At 37.3% G+C, this 22,476-nt stretch overlaps 1 protein-coding gene across 5 annotated transcripts in view, besides 2 other annotated features; it reads left to right on the plus strand.

The window, feature by feature from the left end:
* PRKG1 (protein kinase cGMP-dependent 1) overlaps nucleotides 1–22,476 on the plus strand; it is a 1,307,463-nt gene that overhangs the window by 887,741 nt on the left and 397,246 nt on the right. The window lies entirely within an intron of this gene.
* Nucleotides 783–852: an enhancer, noted in NCBI's record as "active region_3375". NCBI's record gives its function as "activates an Ori minimal core promoter by ATAC-STARR-seq in GM12878 lymphoblastoid cells {active_cell/tissue: GM12878}" and the evidence as "EXISTENCE:reporter gene assay evidence [ECO:0000049][PMID:35858748]".
* Nucleotides 953–1,012: an enhancer, noted in NCBI's record as "active region_3376". NCBI's record gives its function as "activates an Ori minimal core promoter by ATAC-STARR-seq in GM12878 lymphoblastoid cells {active_cell/tissue: GM12878}" and the evidence as "EXISTENCE:reporter gene assay evidence [ECO:0000049][PMID:35858748]".

Raw genomic sequence — 22,476 nt, forward strand, 5'->3', positions numbered from 1 at the left:
TTTCTGAAACTACTCACCATCTAATTTTGTTACTCCCCAGAGTCTCACCAGAAGGAGAATACCAACAGTTTCTATTGAAGGATTTATTCCTGTCACAAGCCATTTTCCTTTCTTCCCATACTGACTAGAGCTGGCTATTTGGTGAATTCCAAATGAGCTTCCACCTAAGTAGCTGTCTCTCATAATGAGTTTCTGTCAAAGAGAAATCAACATACAGAGAGAACAGACACACACATATTGACTTTAATGCAGTGACAAAACAAAGCATTTGAGTCACTTATTTAAGAACCAGACCTCTGCAAATGGAACTGGCATGTCTAATCCCATTATTGCCAGCTTTCCCACACAGAGGCAGCATTACTGACCTATCTATAACTGTCCAATAAGTCCAGGGCCTTTGGTTTCTGTCCTTGTCAACCTCTAAATATTTCAAGCTGACATCAAAACAGAATAGGCAGGAGATAGAAAGAAACCAGCATCAACATGTATTTGCTTGTAAATATCAATTTGTTTTTGGCTGTAATCATCCTTAAGTGGACTTCTGTGACATGATCTGGGCTTTTAAAAAATAGCAGAAACCTGGACTATAATATATTTGTAAACATTTTATCCTTTGATTAGTTTTGTTTTGCTTTCACTTTGCTATGTAACTGTGCTGTTAGTCTTAAGATGAACTGGGGTGAGTTCAGGGCTGACTCAAGGAGGCCCATTTCATTTGAGTCACCCTGGGATGAACGAGAAAAGTTGCTGGCCTCAAGTCTCTTACTATCCCTTGGGAACCAAACACATACAGAACTATGATTCATGTCCATCTGTGAGAAGTTGTAGACAGAAGTATAAAGTGCTGTAAGAGCCTGAGGCACAGAAGAGGGAATTGTCTGCAGACAAGGAAACTACCATGAGTCACTTTCTCTGAGGTTTTCTTTTTTACTCAAGTTCTGTAAGTCTACATCTCTCTCAGTGTGAGCAACCCAACTGAGCTGTTAGAGCTATGTGTCCATGACTTTAAACCTGCCTCCCTTGGTAGGAAACAAAAATCCTATGTGTAGATTTAGTATATAGGTCTTCTGATGCCACCATCCAGAGCTTATCTTTCCTCCTGCTGGCTTGAGTGTAGGTCTCTGAAGTTAGGGAAGTCAACTGCAGTTTTTCCTAGATAACAGTGGAATTGAATGCCACCTGTGGGCATCTGGGTTCTGAAATCCGATTGATGTTACTCAGTGGAAGGAATTTCACAAATATACTACCTGAATCCCACAGCGGGCCACTATGGCAAGCAAGGAAATTGTAGCCACTATGTAAAGAACCTCAGGCTGTGGCCTGTGCAATTCTAGCAAGCATCCTTTACATGGAGCAGAATGTAAGTGAGATTTCTGCATTGCACAGTACCAGCCTGCACATCCATTGGATATTTGCTTCTGGACGTATTTTCTCAGCCTCCACCTTTTACATCAGAAAGAGATACCTCGTTTGCACAAGAAAATTTTATTGTATTTGATTAAAAAATATTTTGTGTGATACTATATGTTTAAATTATGGTTTACATTTTACAAAGTATTTTAGTCATTATAATTATCTTAGGAATTAAATAGAAAGTAATTAGCCCATTGTCCATATGTAGAACTGAGCTAAAAAAAAAAAAGATTAAATAATGTGAGTTAGTTGAAACTTACATTATGTAATTGAGTTAGAGCTCAATTATTATGAAGCTTGATGACATTTTGTCAGCAAGGTCTGGGGTGGAAATCAGCCCTTGTGTCTGGGACTAAGTCTACTGGCTCTGCTCTGTCTTACCTCCTGAGTACACTTCATTGAATAATGGTCTGCTCCACTGGAATTGCCAGGTCCCCATTTTTCCATTTAAGAGTTACTATCTTTCTGGTTTCCTGTGGGGAATAAAGCTTTGTAAATAAGAATTATGGAATAATCTGAGAATCTTAGAGAAGGAGAAGCTGGTAACTAATATAAAAGTCCTGTATTGGTTTTGGCTGTGTTAATCTTTTAAAAACGTCCTCCTCTAAAAAATTGTATCCACTCATATCCTGGATTTAAAATGCAAAAGATATTCCCCAGTAAAACCTCACACTGATTTCCCACAAATGGAGAGGAGGATGGTAAATTCCAAGGACAAGAACACTAATGTATGAGGCAAGAGACACAGTTTTGCTTTTGGCTCTATTGCAATCAACCTATCGGTTCATCAATTCAAGAATTAAGTATTGAGTATCTTTAGATGCCAGAAATTGTGCTGGGTGCCTTCAGTAAATTTTTAGGTTAGAAGGAAGGCAGACATTAAACAAATAACTACCCAAGTAATTATAATTATAGAAAGTGCTCTAAAGAAAAAATAAAAGGCTTGTATAAGAGTAAATGACAAGTAGGAGTTACTTAGAGAAAAGGGGGGCAGATAGTATGTGGGATGGGTGGGGGAGGGGCCTCTGGAAGCATAGTTCAGGTAAAGAGGGCAGCATATGTGAAGATCCTGTGCCCCAGGTTATATTTGAGAATTGAAAAGATCAGAGTGACTAGAGTAGTGCGCATGAAGGGGAGAGGGCTGAAAGTTAAGATTAGAGACATCAACGGGAAGATCATACATGGCCTCAAATAGTGTTTCACTTATCTACTGAGGTATAACAAGCTAACCCAAACCTTAGACTGTTAAAACAACAATTTGTTATTTCTCATGATTATATATTAAATAATTGTGCATTGGCTGTGCTCAGCTGAGTGGTTCTTGTGCTCCACATGTCAGCTGGGTCACTAAGCTGCATTCAGCTGTGAGCTCAGCTGGGGTTCTACTTATGTCTGTGGTTTCATCTGGGTGGCTGAAATAGCAGGAAACTGGCTTCTTCCACATGATCTTTCATAATTCAGTAGTCTAGCTGAGCTTCTTGAAATTTGAATGGATTCAAAAATGATTGGAGCTGATGGTACCAGGCCTCTTATCACCTAGCCTTAGAACTGGCATAGCCATTCTATTTATTAGTTAAGGCAAACCACAAGGCCAGCCCAGGTTTAAGGGGGAAATAGACACCATCTATTTTTAGGAGTTGTGCTAAGCCTTTAGACAGCGGAAGGAAAAGATTTGTTTTGAGGCAGTATACCATATAGATAATTTTAAACATTTTGGACTTGAGATTTTTATTATTTGTTATAAATATAGCATATTTGAAATGCCTTATTTATTGTAGTCTTCACAACAATATAATGAAATAAGCAACATCATGATACTCTTCTTAAGTTAGATGCATCACAGAACTCTTAAGTGGCAAGACCAGGCACCAACTGAGCCCTAACTCAAAGCAGTCTGTTTTTGACCACCATGCTGCTGCATGACCATTTTGCTGATTCTCAGTCATAGTTCTTTCATCTTTTCAATGATGAAATCCATGAGGATGACTAAAATGTGTGAGGACTGTAATAGGCAAAGCTATCATATGTAAGTTTAAAGCATAAAAAAAGTCCACCTTTGGAAAATCTCATTGTTAATCCACTCCTTGATACAGTTCAGAAAATGAATTAATTAATAACTTAGGAACAAAAGGAGCTCATTAGCCCTAACTCCCTAAACCCATCTGCTATTATTGTTAGAAGCTGAGATTCCCAAAGTCCCCCCAGACAAATGGAGAAACATTATCAGTGACATTAGGGGCTCTTTCTCCAACCAGGTACCCTTGCCAGTTGCTCATTTATTTCTAGAAATCTCAGACATGTCTCATGTGACTTCATAAATAAATCTTCTTGCTACCACCTGGTGTTCACAACTTTCCTTCTCTCCTACGCTAGAATTTTTTAGTGAGATTTCCTTCCAGATCATCTACTGCTTCTAAAGCCTCATTGTATGTTAGGTGCTGAAATGGGAAGATTGCTTCTTTATCCTTTGTGTTTAACTCTATTAGAGTTACTGCCTCCTTACAAACATCCTGATAGTTTGTAAGACTTAAAATGGAAATATGCAAGTCACATAGAGGAGGGAATTTGTATTCTTCGCCCCTCTATCCCTAGGATGAATCTGAATGGCAGTTACCAGGCAGTCTTCAGAGCTTTTTCTTTTCCCCTGTTGACTGAGGCTTGGATATTGATTTGAACTTTTCTGATTCCATCTCTACTTAAGATGAATTTTCTCTCAGAAGAGTCATCAATCCTTCATGCCAATAGACTTCTGGTAGCTACACTACCAGTCTGCCAGACATGGTCAGATATGTATGAGTACTGGGATCTACAATTTAATTTAAGCTTGAGCCGTTGTTCTCAGTGTACTATCATGTTATGTGATGTTTACTTTCATGTGTCAACTTGATTGGGCTAAGGGATGCCCAGAAAACTGGTAATACATTATGTCTGGGTGCATCTGTGAGGGTGTTTCCAGAAGAGATTAGCATTTGAACTGGTAGTAAGTAAAGAAGTCCATCTTCACCAATGTGGGCAGACATCATCCAACCTGTTGAGGACCTGAATAGAACAAAAAGGTGGAAAAAGGGCAAACTGTCTCTTCCTGAGGGACATTCATCTTCTGTCTTCAAACATCAGCACTCCTGGTTCTCTTGCTTGAGGATTTGAACTACAACTTATACCATTAGCTCCCCTGGATCTCAAGTACTTGGACTCTAGCTGAATTACACCACCATCTTTCTGGCTTCTGCAACTTGCAGATGGCAGATTGTGGGGCTCTCAGTCTCCATAATTGTATGAGCTGCATAGTATAATAAATCTCTCTCTCTGTCTTTGTCTCTCAGTCTGTATAGACAAATATAGATAGATGATATAGATATAGATCCTATTAGTTCTGTTTATCTTGAGAACCCTAGCTAATACATAACAATAATATTTTCTGTAAATTAAGCAAGTTTTGTATTTCAATCTCATGTGACTTCATTGCAGTATTGAGGTAATCATGATTTACCCATAGGTTAAGAAAGACATTTTTGCTTATGGTAAGAAATAAATTGCTGGGGCTGTGTCTATGCTATTAAGCAACCAATAGTTGTTAACCAAACAACTGTTTAATGGATTAACATATTTACTGATCTCTGAGTTGTTTTGGAGTTTTAAAGGATGCAAGTGTTTTCTCTGAAAGAAAATTGGCAGCATGTTTCTGCTGGCAGGGCTGTGTGTCAAAATGGAATTGGTTGAGATAATAAATGTACTTTAAAAATAATCTGTTGTGTTTATGTAAGTTTTTGTGTGTGGCTGCCTCCACCTTTATCGTCTTCCTATTATTATCCCATGTGTCCTTCCAGGAGGTAGAATGCTTTAAGACTGTCAGTAGAAATAAGAGACAAAAAATTGTGTTCTTCAATTATTAGGAAACTTTTCAGATGAAAATCCATTTTAAAACAGAAAGTGGTTTTCTATGAAAATGAATTTCCTGAAACTCAAGTTAGTCTTTTATTTTTCAAAAAAAAAAAAAAAAAAAAGAAGCTTTTGCCACTTCCAAATACCACTCAAGTAAATAATAAGAATGAGATACAGAAAGCAGGCTGATGGAAGTGATACTTTTGTTTGAATGAGTCACAGATTAATTATAAGAAAAGTTGGCCGGGCGCGGTGGCTCACGCCTGTAATCCCAGCACTTTGGGAGGCCGAGACGGGCAGATCACGAGGTCAGGAGATCGAGACCATCCTGGCTAACACGGTGAAACCCCGTCTCTACTAAAAATACAAAAATTAGCCAGGCGTGGTGGCGCGCGCCTGTAGTCCCAGCTACACGGGAGGCTGAGGCAGGAGAATGGCGTGAACCCGGGAGGCGGAGCTTGCAGTGAGTCGAGATCGCGCCACTGCACTCCAGCCTGGGCGACAGAGTGAAACTCCGTCTCAAAAAAAAAAAAAAAAAAAAAAAAAAGAAAAGTTTAGCTTTAGAGCAGACAAGTAAATATACTGCCACAGAGGTTGTTTTGTGTCCTAAATTACCCCAAAATGTAATGGCTTAAAACATGATTTATTGTTTCTCATGATTCCCTAGGTTGACTGGACTCAGTGTGCCAATGTTCTACTCCATACATTGTAGCTGAGGCCATGCGTACACTGAAATGTCCAAGGTGGACTCACATCATTCAGGGTCTGTCTCCACATTGCCTGTCATCATACAGTAGTTTAGGATGAGATTCTTTTCAGCTTGGTGGTTGGCTTTTAAGGATGAAAAATGTAAGCTACAGGCCTTTTTATGTCTTATACCTTATTTTGACCTTATTTTTTGGGTCTAAGCAAGTCACCAGCCTAGGTCACATTCAAAGGGAGGGGAGTTAGCCTCCACCTCTTCGTAGGAGAAGTGGCAAAGTGTTTGGAAGCATCTTTAACTCACCATGGAGATATCAGTTTACTCATCCATTGAGGTTTTGAGAGTCTACTGTATTCCTGACACTATTCTCAGTGCTATAAGGAATAGACCCTTGAAAGAATCCTTCACTTTCTTTCAGCTTCATTACTGACATACCGTGCAATCTTAGCCAAGTTTCTTTTCATTTTTATAACTTACTCTTCTCATCTTTAAAATGGAGATAATAATTGTTGCTTTACATGTAATTAAGTCATTTAATTTTCACAGTTGTGATGTTAACCTAGGTAAAACACTTAGAATGTGTTAATGCATGTACAGAGATAGAGCAGTACCAGGCACATAACCACTCACAAGTTAGTTGTTATTGTTGTTATTGCTTGCTAATGAGAAAAGTGGAGCCAAGGGGATTGTGACTTGCCCACTGATCTATTTAATGGCAGATTCTGTTTTAGCAATATAAGATAAAATTACCTTATAATGTATTTTCTCATGTAATTGGCCAAAGGTTTCTGCAAAATGCAATTGACTTGCTTTTTAATAAATTATCTGGGAACATTTTGCAAGCCTGTTACATAGACTGACAGAATGTACTTCCCATTCTCTGTTCTAGCTCCAATCCAATTACTCTCATGGCTCTTTACCGTTAGACACCTCCTCACCTTCTCTAGTCTTCTTTTACTTCTCCCATATCAAATCCTATATTCCAGCCATATCAGATCACTTGCAGTTCCCACCTTTAATACGCTGTTTCACACCTCCGTGTCTTTATTATACTCTGTTCCCAGTTCTGGAATGCTGATATCCTATTACTTTATGCCCCAGCTATTATCTGCTCTTTTTTCTTCCTTGCCTTAGATGTTTCCTATTCCTTTCCTGACTTCTCCTTCCAATTTGAATCTGCTTGGGCCTTTCCCCCGCTACTCCCAAAGCACATGATTACCTCTTTCATGAGACGTTATTATATTATAAATTATCTATTACTTATGCATTCCCATAATCTTTCTAAGCTGGAAGGTATGAAATACATCTTTTTTCTTCTGAGTTCTCAAAACCGCATGGTGCCATAAAAGCTGTGTCATCACAAGTATAGTTACCTAAGTAAGGTTTCTTTTCTTTTCTTTTAAAAAATATGTTTTTAGAAATGGAGTCTTACTCTGTCACCCAGGCTGGACTGCAATGACACAATCATAGCTCACTGCAACCTTGAACTCCTGGGTTCAAATGATCCTCCAGCTTCAGCTTCCAGAATAGCTGGGATTAAAGGCATGGCCACCATGCCTGGCTCCCGAGTAAGGATACTTAATATGTATTTTACAGCCACAATTTCTTACAAAAGGAACCAGAACCAAAAATTTATTTTCAATATCATATTTATATGTATTATATATTTTCTAGAATTTCTATTACAAGCTGTAGTTTTGGGTTTTTTTTTAAACATCATCATTGGCACTTAATGTAAGCCATTTAAAGATATGGCAAAAGGACTATTAGAATTTATGCATGCACATTTTATTTTCCCTAGAATTAGAACAACCCAGATATTTAGGGCCAGCAAATTCCCAGTACTTTTCATGTAATATAGCTTGGAGTTTCTTTTCGACCTGCTAATGTTGGATAAACATTTCAGTCATTGAAGATACAAGCTAAAGTTTAAATCACGGGCAACTTGGAGGATATTTGTCTGCTTCTATTTGGGTGACTAGATGACTCATATAAGTGGAATCATGAAGTATTTATCCTTCTGCATCTGGCTCGTTTTGCAGATGATAATGTCTCATAGGTTTAACCATGCTGTAACAAATGGCAGCATTTATTTCTTTTTTAGGGCTGAAATAATGTTCTATTGTATGAAGACATTTGTCCTTGGGTATCCAAGGGTAATTGGTTCTAGGACCCTCCACTGAACCAAAATCCACATCCACTCAAGTCACTCAGTTGGTCCTGCAGTGCTCACCTATACAAAAAGTTAGCCATCCTTATCTGCAAGCTCACATCTCTCAGTACTGTATTTTCCATCTGTATTTTGTTGAATCTGCAGATGAGAGACTTGCAGATACACAGAGCCAAATGTATGCCAATTATTATGATTGGTATTTTTTGAGACAGAGTCTCACTCAGTCACCCAGGTCGGAGTGCAGTGGTGCATCTCCACTCACTGCAACCTCTGCCTCCTGGGCTCACGTGATTCTCATGCCTCATCCTCCTGAGTAGCTGGCGCTACAGGCATGCACACCATGCCCAGTTAATTTTTGTGTTTTTCGTAGAGACAGGGTTTCGCCATATTGACCAGGCTGGCCTCGAACGCCTGGCCTCAAGTGATCTCCCTGTCTCAGCCTCCCAAAGTGCTGAAATTACAGGTGTGAGCCACAGCACCTGGCCCACGTTTTTCTTTTTTTAAATTATTTCATCTATAAGTGACATTTAGATTGTTTCCATATCTTGGCTGTAGTCAATAAGGCTGCAGTGAACAGGAAGGTGCAGATATCTTTTCAAGATCTGAACTTTGATTCTTTTGAATATATTTCCAGAAGTGGGACTGCTGTATCATACAGTAGTTCTATTTTAAATTTTTTGAGGAAACTCAATACTGTTTCCCACAGTGGCTACACCACCCTATATTCCCATCAACAGTGTATAAGAGTTCTAATTCCTCCACAAGCTCGCCAACACTTACCTTTTGTTTCTGTTTACTTGTTTCTTTTTTGATAACAGACATTTTAGCAGGTAAGAAGTGAAATTTTGTTGTGGTTTGGATTTAATTTTTCCAATAAGTTATGTTGGCACTTTTTCGTATACCTACCGGCATTTTGTATGTCTTCTTTGGAGAAATATTTATATATGTATTCAAGTCTTTTGCCCAATTTTTAATTAGTTTGTTTCTTTGTTTTTGTTTTGCTATTGAGTTGTAGGAGACTCTCCTTTATATTGGACATTAATCTCTTATGAGATAGGTGGTAGCCAGAGGTTGTGGGGAGAAGGAAATAGGGAATTGTTTTTCAATGGTATAAAATTTCTGTTATGCACGTTAAATAAATTCTAGAGGTTTTCTGTACAACATAGTACCTACAGTTAATAATACAGTATTGTGTTTATTAAAATATAAGAGGATATATCTCATGTTAAATTTTCTTACTGCAAAGCAAACAAAAAACACACAAAAGAACACAAATAAATTATTGGAGGTGACTATATACTTAGTACCTTGGTTGTGGTGATGGTATTATGGGTATAGGCTTATGGCCCAACTCATTAAAAGATATACGTTGAATGTGTGCATTTTTTGTGCATCGATTATATCTCAATAAAGCTAAAAAAATAAAAATTGAAAACTGAAGTCAGGGGAATGTTGGCCAATAATGACATGCTTTTTGCCAAAGCACTGCTTAGTTGGGTTATGAAAAATCAAAGAGCATATTGGCATCTCTTAAGAACAAGGTTATTTTAGTCTAAGTAAAATACAAATTCTACTTTGAAAAAGTACAAGGACTTCTTTCCCATCATACTGTACTGTGACACATCAACTAAAAGCATTACTTCAACTTCTGTCTGTGCTTTCATAACCCTTTTGTCATCTTCTTGGCTTTATGTCTCAAACCAATGGGACTTTTATAGGCTGATCATAGACACAGCTTCACTTTTTGAAAGGGCCACTAGCTTTCTCCATGGTGGCCTCTCCCTAGAGCAAAGGAGACAAACAATGCAGGGTCTGATGTTGCTAATTAAGCAATCTAAGATTTTGGCAAATGAACTCCAGGCACTGGTTGATTGAGAATTCCCACTGCAGCTCTAGCTGTGGGTTTGTGTCCAGGTTTTGCCACTTAGATACAGAACAGTGAAGTTACTCATGAGAGGTCTTAAAGTTTCTGTCTCTTCATTTGCATAAGGTAGATAATAAGAGACTCTAAAGAAATAATCTAAAGAATTATTGAACAATAAAATGAACTAGTTCATATACAATTATATGATTATCTCTATGTCACTGACAAGAAAATAGACTCAGAGAGGTAAATTAACTTATTTAATGTCACATAGTTACAAAGTAACGTGACTGGGACTTAAATAAATAAAATTTACTTTCTTTATATGCTAATGCTGCTTATTACTTCCCATCCTGACAGAGAGAGATTTGCAGAGCCCTCCACTTAACACACATTCTTTTTTTTTTTTTTAATACTTTAAGTTCTAGGGTACATGTGCACAATGTGCAGGTTTGTTACATATGTATACATGCACCATGTTGCTGTGCTGCACCCATTAACTCGTCATTTACATTAGGTATATCTCCTAATTCTATCCCTCCCCCCTCCCCCCACCCCACAACAGGCCCCGGTGTGTGATGTTCCCCTTCCTGTGTCCAAATGTTCTCATTGTTCAATTCCCACCTATGAGTGAGAACACGCAGTGTTTGGTTTTTTGTCCTTGAGATAGTTTGCTGAGAATGATGATTTCCGGCTTCATCCATGTCCCTACAAAGGACATGAACTTATACTTTTTTATGGCTGCGTAGTATTCCATGGTGTATATGTGCCACATTTTCTTAATCCAGTCTATCATTGATGGACATTTGAGTTGGTTCCAAGTCTTTGCTATTGTATAGTGCCACAATAGACATACATGTGCATGTGTCTTTATAGCAGCATGATTTATAATCCTTTGGTTATATACCTAGTAATTGGATGGCTGGGTCAAATGTTATTTCTAGTTCTAGATCCTTGAGGAATCGCCACACTCTCTTCCACAATGGTTGAACTAGTTTACAGTCCCACCAACAGTGTAAAAGTATTCCTATTTCTCCACATCCTCTCCAGCACCTGTTGTTTCCTGACTTTTTAATGATCGCCATTCTAACTGGTATGAGATGGTATCTCATTGTGGTTTTGATTTGCATTTCTCTGATGGCCAATGATGATGAGCATTTTTTCATGTGTCTGTTGGCTGCATAAATGTCTTCTTTTCAGAAGTGTCTGTTCATATTCTTGGCCCACTTTTTGATGGGGTTATTTGTTTTTTTCTTGTAAGTTTGTTTGAGTTCTTTGTAGATTCTGGATATTAGCCCTTTGTCAGATGAGTAGATTGCAAAAATTTTCTCCCATTCTTTAGGTTGCCTGTTCACTCTGATGGTAGTTTCTTTTGCTGTGCAGAAGCTCTTTAGTTTAATTAGATCCCATTTGTCAATTTTGGCTTTTGTTGTCATTGCTTTTGGTGTATTAGACATGAAGTCCTTGCCCATGCCTATGTCCTGAATGGTAATGCCTAGGTTTTCTTCTAGGGTTTTTATGGTTTTAGGTCTAACGTTTAAGTCTTTAATCCATCTTGAATTAATTTTTGTATAAGGTTAACACACATTCTTACCTTCACATTAATCTGTCCTAATTCCTCCTATTTCTACCTAAATAATTCCTTTGGATTATGACATTTGACTCCAGAAATCAAACTGTGAATCTGAAAACTCCTACACTAATCCATCAAAACTTACAGGTATCTTAGGATAAATTGTATGGTTATATGGTCTGTCACTTGACTGCAAAAATCTCTTACAAGATATTCATTCAGTTAGCCATGTACTAAATTGAGGAAGTATGCATCAGTTTAGATCTAAGCTATGTTATTAAAATTGCCTGAAAATTAGTACATATGATAGTTAAAGAGATATAAATAATTGTGTGAATTGTATTAAATCATTTTTTGTAGAAGGTAAACAATTAGAAGTTTCACATTTGAAAGATTAAAAATGATATTAGAGAAGAAATATTCATATTAAGAATTATGGCCAGGCGCAGTGGCTCACGCCTGTAATCCTGTCACTTTGGGAGGTCAAGGCGGGTGGATCACATGAGGCCAGGAGTTTGAAACCAGCCTGGCCAACATGGGGAAACCCCTTCTCTACTAAAAATACAAAAATTAGTTGAGTGTGATGGTGCACACCAGTAATCCCAGCTCCTCAAGAGGCTGAGGCAAGAGAATCACTTGAACCTGGGAGGTGTAGGTTGCAGTGAGCCAAGGTTGTGCCACTGCACTCCAGCCTGGGCAATACAGCAAGACTCTGTCTAAACACATACATACATATATATTAGGGCTAGGTGGGGTGTCTCATTCCTGTAATCCCAGCATTTTGGGAGACCGAAGAGGGAGGACCCCTTGAACTTAGGAGTTTGACATCAGCCTGGGCAACATACTGAAACCCATCTCTACAAAAAAAAAATAACAAATAAGCCAGGTGTGGTGGCATGTACTTGTAGTCCCAGCTACTTGGGAGGCTGAAGCAGGAAGATCACGTGAGCTCAGGAGTTTGAGGCTACAGTGAACTATGATCATACCATTGCACCCAAGCCAGGGTGACAGGGTGAGACCTTGTCTCTACAAATAAATAAATAATACATAAAATATTCTCTACAGAGTGACCTTGGAATTCTGTACTATCTTTGGATCACACACTTCAATACATGAGTTTTTATTTATTAAGAGTTAATATTTTTGAACCTATATTTCCAAATTGACATAGGGAAAAAACTATTTTAACATCGAATAAGAACTTTGACTATATGACCTGAGTTAAATATTCCATCTCTCCCATTTTATTAAAGCATTTACTTCAAGGTCATATATTCTTGCATTTATTCTAAAAGGTGAAAAATTATGTCATTCAACAAACTTTGAGTATCTATCATTTACTAGGCATTAAGCTGAAGGAATTGGACACCGTACCTGACCTTAAGGTAATAGGAGCCTAGGACTGCGGTTGGAAAACTTTCCCGTAAAAGACCAAATAGTAAATATTATAGGTTTGCAGGTCATATGGTCTTTGTCGCAACGCAACTACTCACCTCTGCCACTGTACCCTAAAAGCAGACATAGATAATACACCAGCAAGCATGACTATATTTCAATAAAATTTGATTTACAAAAATAGGTAGTGGATCAGTGGACCATAGTTTGGTGATCTAGGGATGAAGCAAGACAGTTAATCACAATACAAGAACTTTGCCTTTGTAAATGCGTCTGTGAAGAATCTGGAGTGAGCAGGAAAAAGGGAAGGAAGGAAATTAGAGAAATTATCAAGCAAGTTTTCTCAGAGAAGATAATGGCTGAATTTTATCTTAAAAATATGGAGCAATTCACAAGGAGGCCATGCTAACTTCTATTTCATGTTAAGAATAGAGGCTATTGTAAATCTTGTCACCTCAGCCTAAACCAAAGTTTCCAAACTATGTAGTATGGAATTCCTCAATACGTTAATAGATATTCCCGAATAAAGGAGTTACCTGGTTGAGTAAGTTTGAAAAATACTCTTTTCCTTCTTCAATTAGCTTTCTCAGTGTTTTTAAATTTCTTTTAGCAAATAAAGACTTTAATAAGTCATGTAGTAAAGAGGATTTTTCAAATTTTTATAACTCAGAATTTTAAAATTTATTTATGGAGCCCTTCTCTTGATGTGGAATACCCATTAATGTATTTCAGAAATAGTATTTTGAATATTGTGGTTTTCAAGACAGTCATAAACTAAGGATTAAGAGTCCTAGACCCATTTATCTGCCCATATGTAGGCAGCAAGGTTTCAGAAGCACTTTAAACAGATGGCTTCCCATCATAGGAGTGTCCTGGGCAACAGGTGTCCAGCCTTTGGGAGATGAGAGGTTGAGCAAGACTCAGTCACCAGGGGTTTTGAAGTTTCATGCAGAACAAATAGCAAACTCACTTGCTGAACTGGAAAAATTATGAAATTATAAAGTGAGACAGTATTGCTCCCAAAGGGCGTTTGCTTGTCACAAGGATCAGGAATGCTATTGGTATTTCATGGGTAGAAATGAGAGATGATAAACGTTCTGCAGTACATAGGCCAGCCCTGCACATTGAAGATGTGTGCTGTCCCAAATGCCAATAGAGCCCCATGGAGAAACACTGTTGAAGAACAAGGAGTGGGGGATCACCTCCCAAGTTTCAGAAGACTGGGAAGAAAATTGGGGATAAACCTTATAGGCACATCACCATTAGTGCAGCCATTAAATATTTAAAAGGTCATACATTCCTTTTTCATTCTTAACAACCAGATGTAATTTATTTAATTCCATAAAAATGTATATGATTTTATTTTTGATGCAGGCATATGCAATTGTAAAACTTACAGAGCAAAGATCAGGTGCAGTGTGATCTTTTGAATAAGCCATTGCATTAGATGCTATTAAGCATTTCAGAGGCAATTTAATAAAGTGTGTGATTAGTGCCTCACTTCCTGATGGTCATTCTGACAGGAGCACCAGAGTAACCTGAGTGCTGATTTCAAACCTAGCCCTTCAGTGAGTTTTTTAGAAGGCTGCTGTAACAGCCTTTTATAAGAAAACTCTGTCAATAAATGTTTCTCTTCTGAATTCGTCTCAAGTAAATAGCCTCAAGGAAATATTCCTGTGGTTCCTGAAAAATAGCAAGCAGAAGATACTTTACACAGACCAGGGTAATCATAAATTTGGCACCTTTTTTGAAATATAAGATGTGCTCCCTCCTCTGGGCTGATGAAGCTGCTGTCAGGGCACAATGGGTGGCATACAGAGAGTGAATGGGCTGAATTTCAGCCCTCACTCAGGCCCCCTGCAGGTGCCTTTGTACATTTGCAAACTGTGTAATCCTGTCTAGTGACCCTGGGTCAGAACCACTGTTGCTTCATTGCATTTGGCTTTATTGCATATAGTCCTTCAATCTGAATGTTTTAAGTACCCACTACATGGCATGCTCTATATTAAGTATAGCATTACAGAAGCTAAATGACGTGTTCCTTTAATTGAGTGCTTACCCTACAGCAGCCCCTTGGCCAAATATTTCATATTTATTAATAATAACAACAACACCATGAGCTAAGTTTTATTGTTTTAATTTTCCAACTAAGGAAGCTTCTCGGCTTTAAGTATCTTGCCTGTAGTTACACAGCTAGGAAGGGAAGGTGCTGGGATTCAAAGCCTTTTTTTTCCCCTGATTCTAAGTGTCCTGTTACTATTTACTACAAAAGCAGGACTTTCAATGAATTTATATATTAGAGAGGAGACAAATATACCAACAGATGGTTACAATACAAGTGTAAGTGCTATTCAGGTGGGATGCCTACTTAGATGTAGAGAGAAAGTTGTCAGGGGCCAATTTCCAGAAGCAGTTGTCCTTGAGTTTTGAAGAAGTTTCTACAAACATATGGGAATCCAAAGGTTAATAAACCAGAATGCAGGCTGAAAAACTTGGCTACACTTCAGAAAATAAGTTGGAATAGGTTTGTGTGTTTTAGTGATTATTTTAAGTTATCATATACCAAATGAAAATAATTGACTGGTAAGGCTATCAATCTTCCTGCACGTTAAAATTATCTGAGTAGAAGAACAACATAAATGAACTTTGAAGACATTATACTGGATGAAATAAGCAGACACAAACGGACAAATATTGTGATTCTACTTCTAAGGGATACCTGCCATAGTCAAATTCATAGAGAGAGAAAGTAGACTAGTGGTTGACAGGGGCTAGTTATTCTTTAACAGGTACACAATTTCAGCTGGTAATGTTGAAAAAGTTCTGGAGACAGACAGTGGTGATGGTTGCATAACAATATGAATATTGTTAATGCCATTTAGCTGTATACTTAAAAATGGTTAAGATAGCAAATTTTATGTTAAGTATATTCTACAACAATTAACAAAATAGAGTGATTTCTTGGAACCTACCCTATGACCTCTTGAATCAGGGTATCCAATGACTTTACGGTTCGGAAACAACTGGCCCAGGACATTTTGACCAAAGATCTGTTATAAGAATCTGCTGAACTGAATTACATTAAAATGAAATCTGAAAGTTCATAGTTAGATATAGTGTAGTTTTAGAAGACGGTTTTAAAGACAACAGTTTTAGGATTTGTGTTGTTTTCATAACTGATATTTGTATAGTGATTTAATTTTAAATGTATTCTCTTCTATTATTTTATGGCAGCTATCTGGTATTGCTTGGCCTGACTTCTTATTTGTATGTTAGAGATGAGAACACTGAGTTTCAGTGAGTTAGTGTTGCCTATCTGTTACACATGCTGCTATAGTTACGATGATAAGGAAGATGCCTAACTGATGAGAATAGAACTCTTGTCTAAATGAGAATTATAGGGATAATAGAGAAAGTTCACAGATTTCTTTTTTGAATCATTTAAAAATTGTTATATTTGCTGCCACATTAAATTAATCATCTGGACTGAGACTTATTGAATGAATGGAGAGGTGTCGAAGAATTGAGTTTCCATGAGAAAAGGCATAAAGCTTAAGGCTTACATAGAGAAGGGCAGCGTTTGGCTGTTTTTCTTAGCAAGAGCAGGACAGAACTGGATGAGTAGTGAAGATGACAAAAGGCTCCTCTTTAGAGCCCTGTCCTTGAACTTTTCAGTTTCTTCTGGGTGTGTCCCTTTCCTCAGGGGGAATCAAGAGAATGTGTGTTGCCCAATCCCTTCTGGAGTAAGAATCAGGACCTTGGGATTTCTTGCCCACATGTTCCTGAGCTCACTTCCAGTATCTGCATGGGCCTGTTTCCCAGGCTTTTTCTTCCTGCCCTGTCATTTTGCCCAACCCATGTCTGAGCATTGGCCAAAAGGCCACGGTTTCTGTGTGTTTGGAGTGGACTGATTTTGGTAGACAAAGCTTGGCTGCACCGGGAACCAGAGTCCTGAAAATGCTAGGGATCCATCTGTAGGGCAGTTTATTCAAATATAAATTGTTAAAATATCTTCCCTATATTGTTCTCTTTTTCCTTTCCCAAGCAGGTGGTTAGGCTCTTTCCGTCTATTGGTCTCAGGGTTTTTGGTCAATACTAGAAGCGTCTAGAAGATAAGGTGCTTCTTATGTATTTTTAAAGCCTAGATTCATTGGAATCTAAGAGTGTCTGGAGTCAAATGGAGAAAGACAAGGACCTTGGAGAAATTTCCCCAAGAGTGGGTTTCTCTGCGTGCAATTGCCTAGAGAGGTTGACCTGAAGCACCAGAGCTCCCAGCCTGACAGAGGTTCCCTTTCTCCTCTGTGCACACAAAAGCAGAGAGCCATTGGACTCCAAGGGCCCCTTGTGACATTGATAGCAGGGAAGTTAACAATTTTGCTCCCCACCTTTTGGACATGACACGCTTCCTAGATTCAGGTAGGACCTTGAGGAAGAGTTAAACAATGAATGTGATTTAATATCTTCCTGAAAAAGAAAGGCTGGTACTCCAAATCAAACACATATGATTTGATTTTAAAAATGAAGAAAAGGATATTTCCAGCACTCTTTGAGTCTAGACTGAGGTTCATATCTGATGTACTAGAAATTTGTTTTGATTACTGAAGGTCTTAAATAATAACAGCATTCAGAACATTTTGCATATACTGTATCATAATTGTGGTAGCTGCTGAACTTTATTAAGCATTTATTATGTGCCAGGTACCTTCTTAATATGTCATACCTACTATTTTTCTTGTGTTTGCCACAACTCTATGCAGAAGGTGATATCATCTTATTTTTGAGGTAAAGAATCTGAGGCCTGGCATGGTGGCTCATGCCTGTAATCTCAATACTTTGGGAGGTTGAGGCAGAAGGATCACTTGAGGCCAAGTGTTCGAGACAAGCCTGGGTTCATAGTGAGACCCTGTCTCTACAAAAAAATAAAATAAAAATTAGCCAAGTGTGGTGCAATGTGCCTGTATTCCTAGCTACCCAGGAGGCTAAGCTTAGGTGACAGAGCGAGACCCTGTCTCTTAAAAAAAAAAAAAAAAAAAAAAAAAGAAAAGATTCTGAGATGCAGAGAGGTTACATAACTGGCCAAAACATAGTTAATAATTAGTAGCAGAGCCTAAACTTAACCCGATTTCTTTTGATTCTAAAACTCATATGCTAACCCAGTATACAATTCTCCAGTATAAGGAGTTTAAACTTTTATCACATATGTAATAAAAATACAGTATATTTTGTATCTCAGGAGTGGTTTGCTTTATTTAAAGTATTTTTATGTGAAAATAAATTTGAATTCTCCTAATCTGGCAAGATAATAGACAGCTATTAATAGGTTGTGGCCATTGCGTGATAAGGGCTAAACATTGCTAAAAGAAAATAAATCTGGCAGTGATGTGTAAAGTAGATTGAAGTCAGATGTGGGACAAGAAACTAAGAGAAGAAAGACCAGTTATAAGACAATTGCATAATAGACTGAACCAGGATAAATGCCAAATCATCCAGTTAAGGGAGAAAAGTATACTTGATGCAGAAAATGTCTAATAAGCTTGCTAAGGGGAATAATTAGGTAGCTATAAGGTTGAGGACCTTTAATCCTTCATCAATATGGATTGATTTTTTTAGTAAGTCCGAGATTTCTGCTTTTATTCTTTTATTCTGTAAGGAAGTCACTGGCACAGAAATAAACAATACTTGTCAATGTTGGTGGCACTAATTTGATGCAGAGATGATTTCTTATATGAGAATCAGAAGGCTACTCTTCTCCATATGCTTCCCAGAGATAATTAATATAACTCTGTATGCTTCTTCCTAGGTAGAGGACATTGTTGAACTATTTGCAGATTTCTGTTTGTTCAGATGTTTTGGCTTATAGATATGGGGCTAAATCTGATATTCTTTGGTTATATTTTAAAACTATAATCTTTTGAAAATATCAAACCCTTTATTACTAACTTAGAAAATAACTCGCTTATTGAATATTTAAAAATTAAATTGTTTTTATTGGTTCCTTTCAACCACAAGGAGCCATCCTTGTCTCTTCTCTTCTCTTTCATTCCACATTCAGTCTACTAGGAAATCATGTTGCTTCTGCTTTCAAAATATAACAGAGCCCAGCTGCTCCTCATCTCCTCCTTTGCTTCCATGCTGTCCAGCCCTCCATCCTCTGTCATGCAGTGGACTCTCATCTGGTCTACCAGCATCCCCTTTTACTACTTTACAGTTTATTCTCCCTAAAACTGGCAGAAGGATTTTTTTTTTTCATGTGTAAATAAGATAAATCACACCTAGACTGAAAATCCTGCAATGGCTCTACATTTCACTCAGAATAAAGCTAAGCTCTTACAATGATCTATAAGCCCCTTTGTGACCTGACCCCACCCTTACCTCTTGATGTCTACTAATCTCCCTCTTTTCCCCAGTTCACTGAAGTCTAGACACTCTGACCTCTTTGCTACTCCTGGAATCTACCAGGCACTTAAAAACCCTTGGCTCACTCTGTTCACTCTGCCTGGATGCTCTTCCCCAGAATCCAGTTATCTATCTCCCTCACCTTTCTCAGGTTTCTGCTCAGATCTTACCTTTAAAGTGAGGACATCCTGGTTACCCTGTTTAATCTTTTAACTTGCCCCTCTTTCCATTGTAATAACTGCTACCCTGTTCATCTTTAAATCATATAAAATTCTGTAGCCATTATCTAATGTAACTCTATGATATAGATGTATATTTAAAATATGTATAATATACATTACTTATTATATTTATTCTTTATTTTCTATTTCCTTGATGAATAAGCTGAAATCTTTTCTTTGGTGCACTGATGAATCCTAAATGCCTAAAACAATTTCTGGCTCATGAGTTACTCAATAAGTTTTGATGAAGAAACAAATTAATTAATTAAACAACAATTTTTTTCCAATATTAAAAAAAAATTTTGGCCAGGCACAGTGGCTCATGCCTATAACTCCAACAGTTTGGGAGGCAAAGGAGGGAGGATCACTTGAGGCCAGGTGTTTGAAACCAGCCTGGGCAACATGGTGAGACCCTGCCTCTTCAAAAAACTGGTGGCACACATCTGTAGTCCTAACTACTCAGGAGGCTGAGGCAGGAGAATTGCTGGAGCCCAGAAGGTTAAAGCTGTGATCTGCAGTGAGTTATGATCATACCACTACACAACAGCATTGGTGACAGAGCAAAACTCTGTCTCTAAAAAAGAAATAATATTTTTTTCTTTAAATGGGCCCATTCAGATGCATTTTATCTACTTATAACCATAATTGTGCACTTTATATTTTTGGTATTATAAGAATATATTTACAAAACAGAAAGTTTGAAAATATAAGAAAGTAGTGAGAGAGAAAAAACATAAGACTAATACTAATTCCACCTAACACAATATCTGTTAACCTTTTGATTTTTTCCTGCAAAGCTCTATTCACAATTGTAAGAAGTTTCTGTAAAATGTAATAATTCCATTGTATACATAAGTTTTAGTATCTTCTCTTAATATTATCTTGTAGGTATTCCGTGTTTTACATATTTTTCATCAATACATCAATTTTAATCACCATGTCAGTGATTCTTCAACTTAGGTTGGTTATATCTGTTAGTATTTACTGCATTTGGAATTAAAAATGAAAATATTTGAAAAATATTTATTCACTAATTCATTTGGAAACCTCAATAATAAACATATTATATTGTAACATAAAGTCTATTTTTAATTAAAATAACCATATTTTCCCAAATCAAAAAAAAATAAAATAGAAAGGAGTTTAAGTTTACAATTATACATCTCAGCACTTTGGAAGACCGAGTAGGGTGGATCACTTGAAGTCAGGAGTTCGAGACCAGCCTGACTAACATGGTGAAATCCTCATCTCTACTAAAAATACAAAAAATTGGCCAGCTCATGCCTGTAGTCCCAGCTACTTAGGAGACTGAGGCAGGAGAATCTCTTGAACTTGGGAGGCAGAGGTTGCAGTGAGCCCAGATCCCACCATTGCACTCCAGCTTGGGCGACAGCGTGAGAGTCTGTCAAAAAAAAGAAAAATGTATATATATATATATATATATATACAAATTTCTCAATATCTAACTATCTAACTTGATAAAAGACTGGATTCTCATATTGATATGGTTTGGATGTGTGGCCCCCTCCCAATCTCATATTGAAATGCAATCCCCAGTGTTGGAGGTGGAACTGAGTGGGTTGTGTTGGATCATGCGGTTGCATACCTCATGAGTGGGTTAGTGCCATGCCCTTGGTGATGAGTGAGTTCTCACTCTATTAATTCTCATGAAAGCTGGTTGTTTAAAAGAGCCTGGCACCTCTCTTACTCTCTCTCTCACCATGCTATGCGCCTGATCCTTTATTGTCTTCCACCATATTTTAAGTTTCCTGAGGCCTTCACTGAAAGCCAAGTAGATGCTGGTGCCATGCTTTTACAGCCTGCAGAATCATTAGCCCATAGAAACTTCTTTTCTTTGTAAATTACCCAGCCTTAGGTATTCTATTATAGCAATGCAAAACAGACTAACATACATATCTTCTTCTGCATTCAATCTGTTGAATTTATGTGGTTGAGGTTGAAATATATGAAGAAAATACAACCTCACAGATATATGTAGCAGCAAAAGGGAGGTTTACGATAATAGCCTTTCAAGATAATGTGGACATTCTTTTTTGTGATTTCATCCTTCATTAACATCCAACAAGTGGCAGTTCCTTAAAGGTTAGTTGCAATATGGACTCTGAAACTATAGCAATAAACTTTTCATACTCTATTATAACATCAAAATCCATTGATCCACCTTATAATTTGAATGAATCATTTACCAATGTGTGATTTTTATAACATTATGCTTTGGTCATTTGGAAATCATTGGCTCACTGAGTTATGCAAAATTTCCAACATAAAAAAATCATATTTCTTAATGTCATATTTCTTAACTACTGATCTTAGCAGAAAAAGTCTTCAAGTATTAGAAAGCTTTTATGCTTACAGTGGCAGATAAAAGTTTTCTGAAGTTTTAATTTTTGGTTGAAAGTTTGAATTTTATCATAGGCAAAAACCACTGTCTGTTATTGCCCTTTAAGTGATGGACTTAACTTTGTTCATTTTGAAAAATAGGCTGCCAAAACCCATATTTTTTTTAAATCATTTTCTAGTAAAAAATGGTGTTCCATGAAAAAAGTGGCTAACTCGGCTTGTAACTCCAACAACCATTCAAATGATTTTGCTTGAGACAACTTTCATACTTCAATATTTTGTCACACACACAATATCAAAAACATGTATACAAAATTTAATTTAAAGAATTAAATTTAATAAAATTAATAACTTTTACTATTTCAGGAAGAATTTCATACTTTAAAGTAAAACTGGCATGTTATTTATCTTTTTCTATGGTGAGTGTGTGGTGAATAAGAAAATAACAACTAGTATAGTTTGGTGTTACTGCTTTGATTTGTACTGAGAGCCACC

The sequence above is a fragment of the Homo sapiens genome, chromosome 10 (assembly GCF_000001405.40).
Source record: "Homo sapiens chromosome 10, GRCh38.p14 Primary Assembly".
Lineage (NCBI taxonomy): Eukaryota > Metazoa > Chordata > Mammalia > Primates > Hominidae > Homo > Homo sapiens.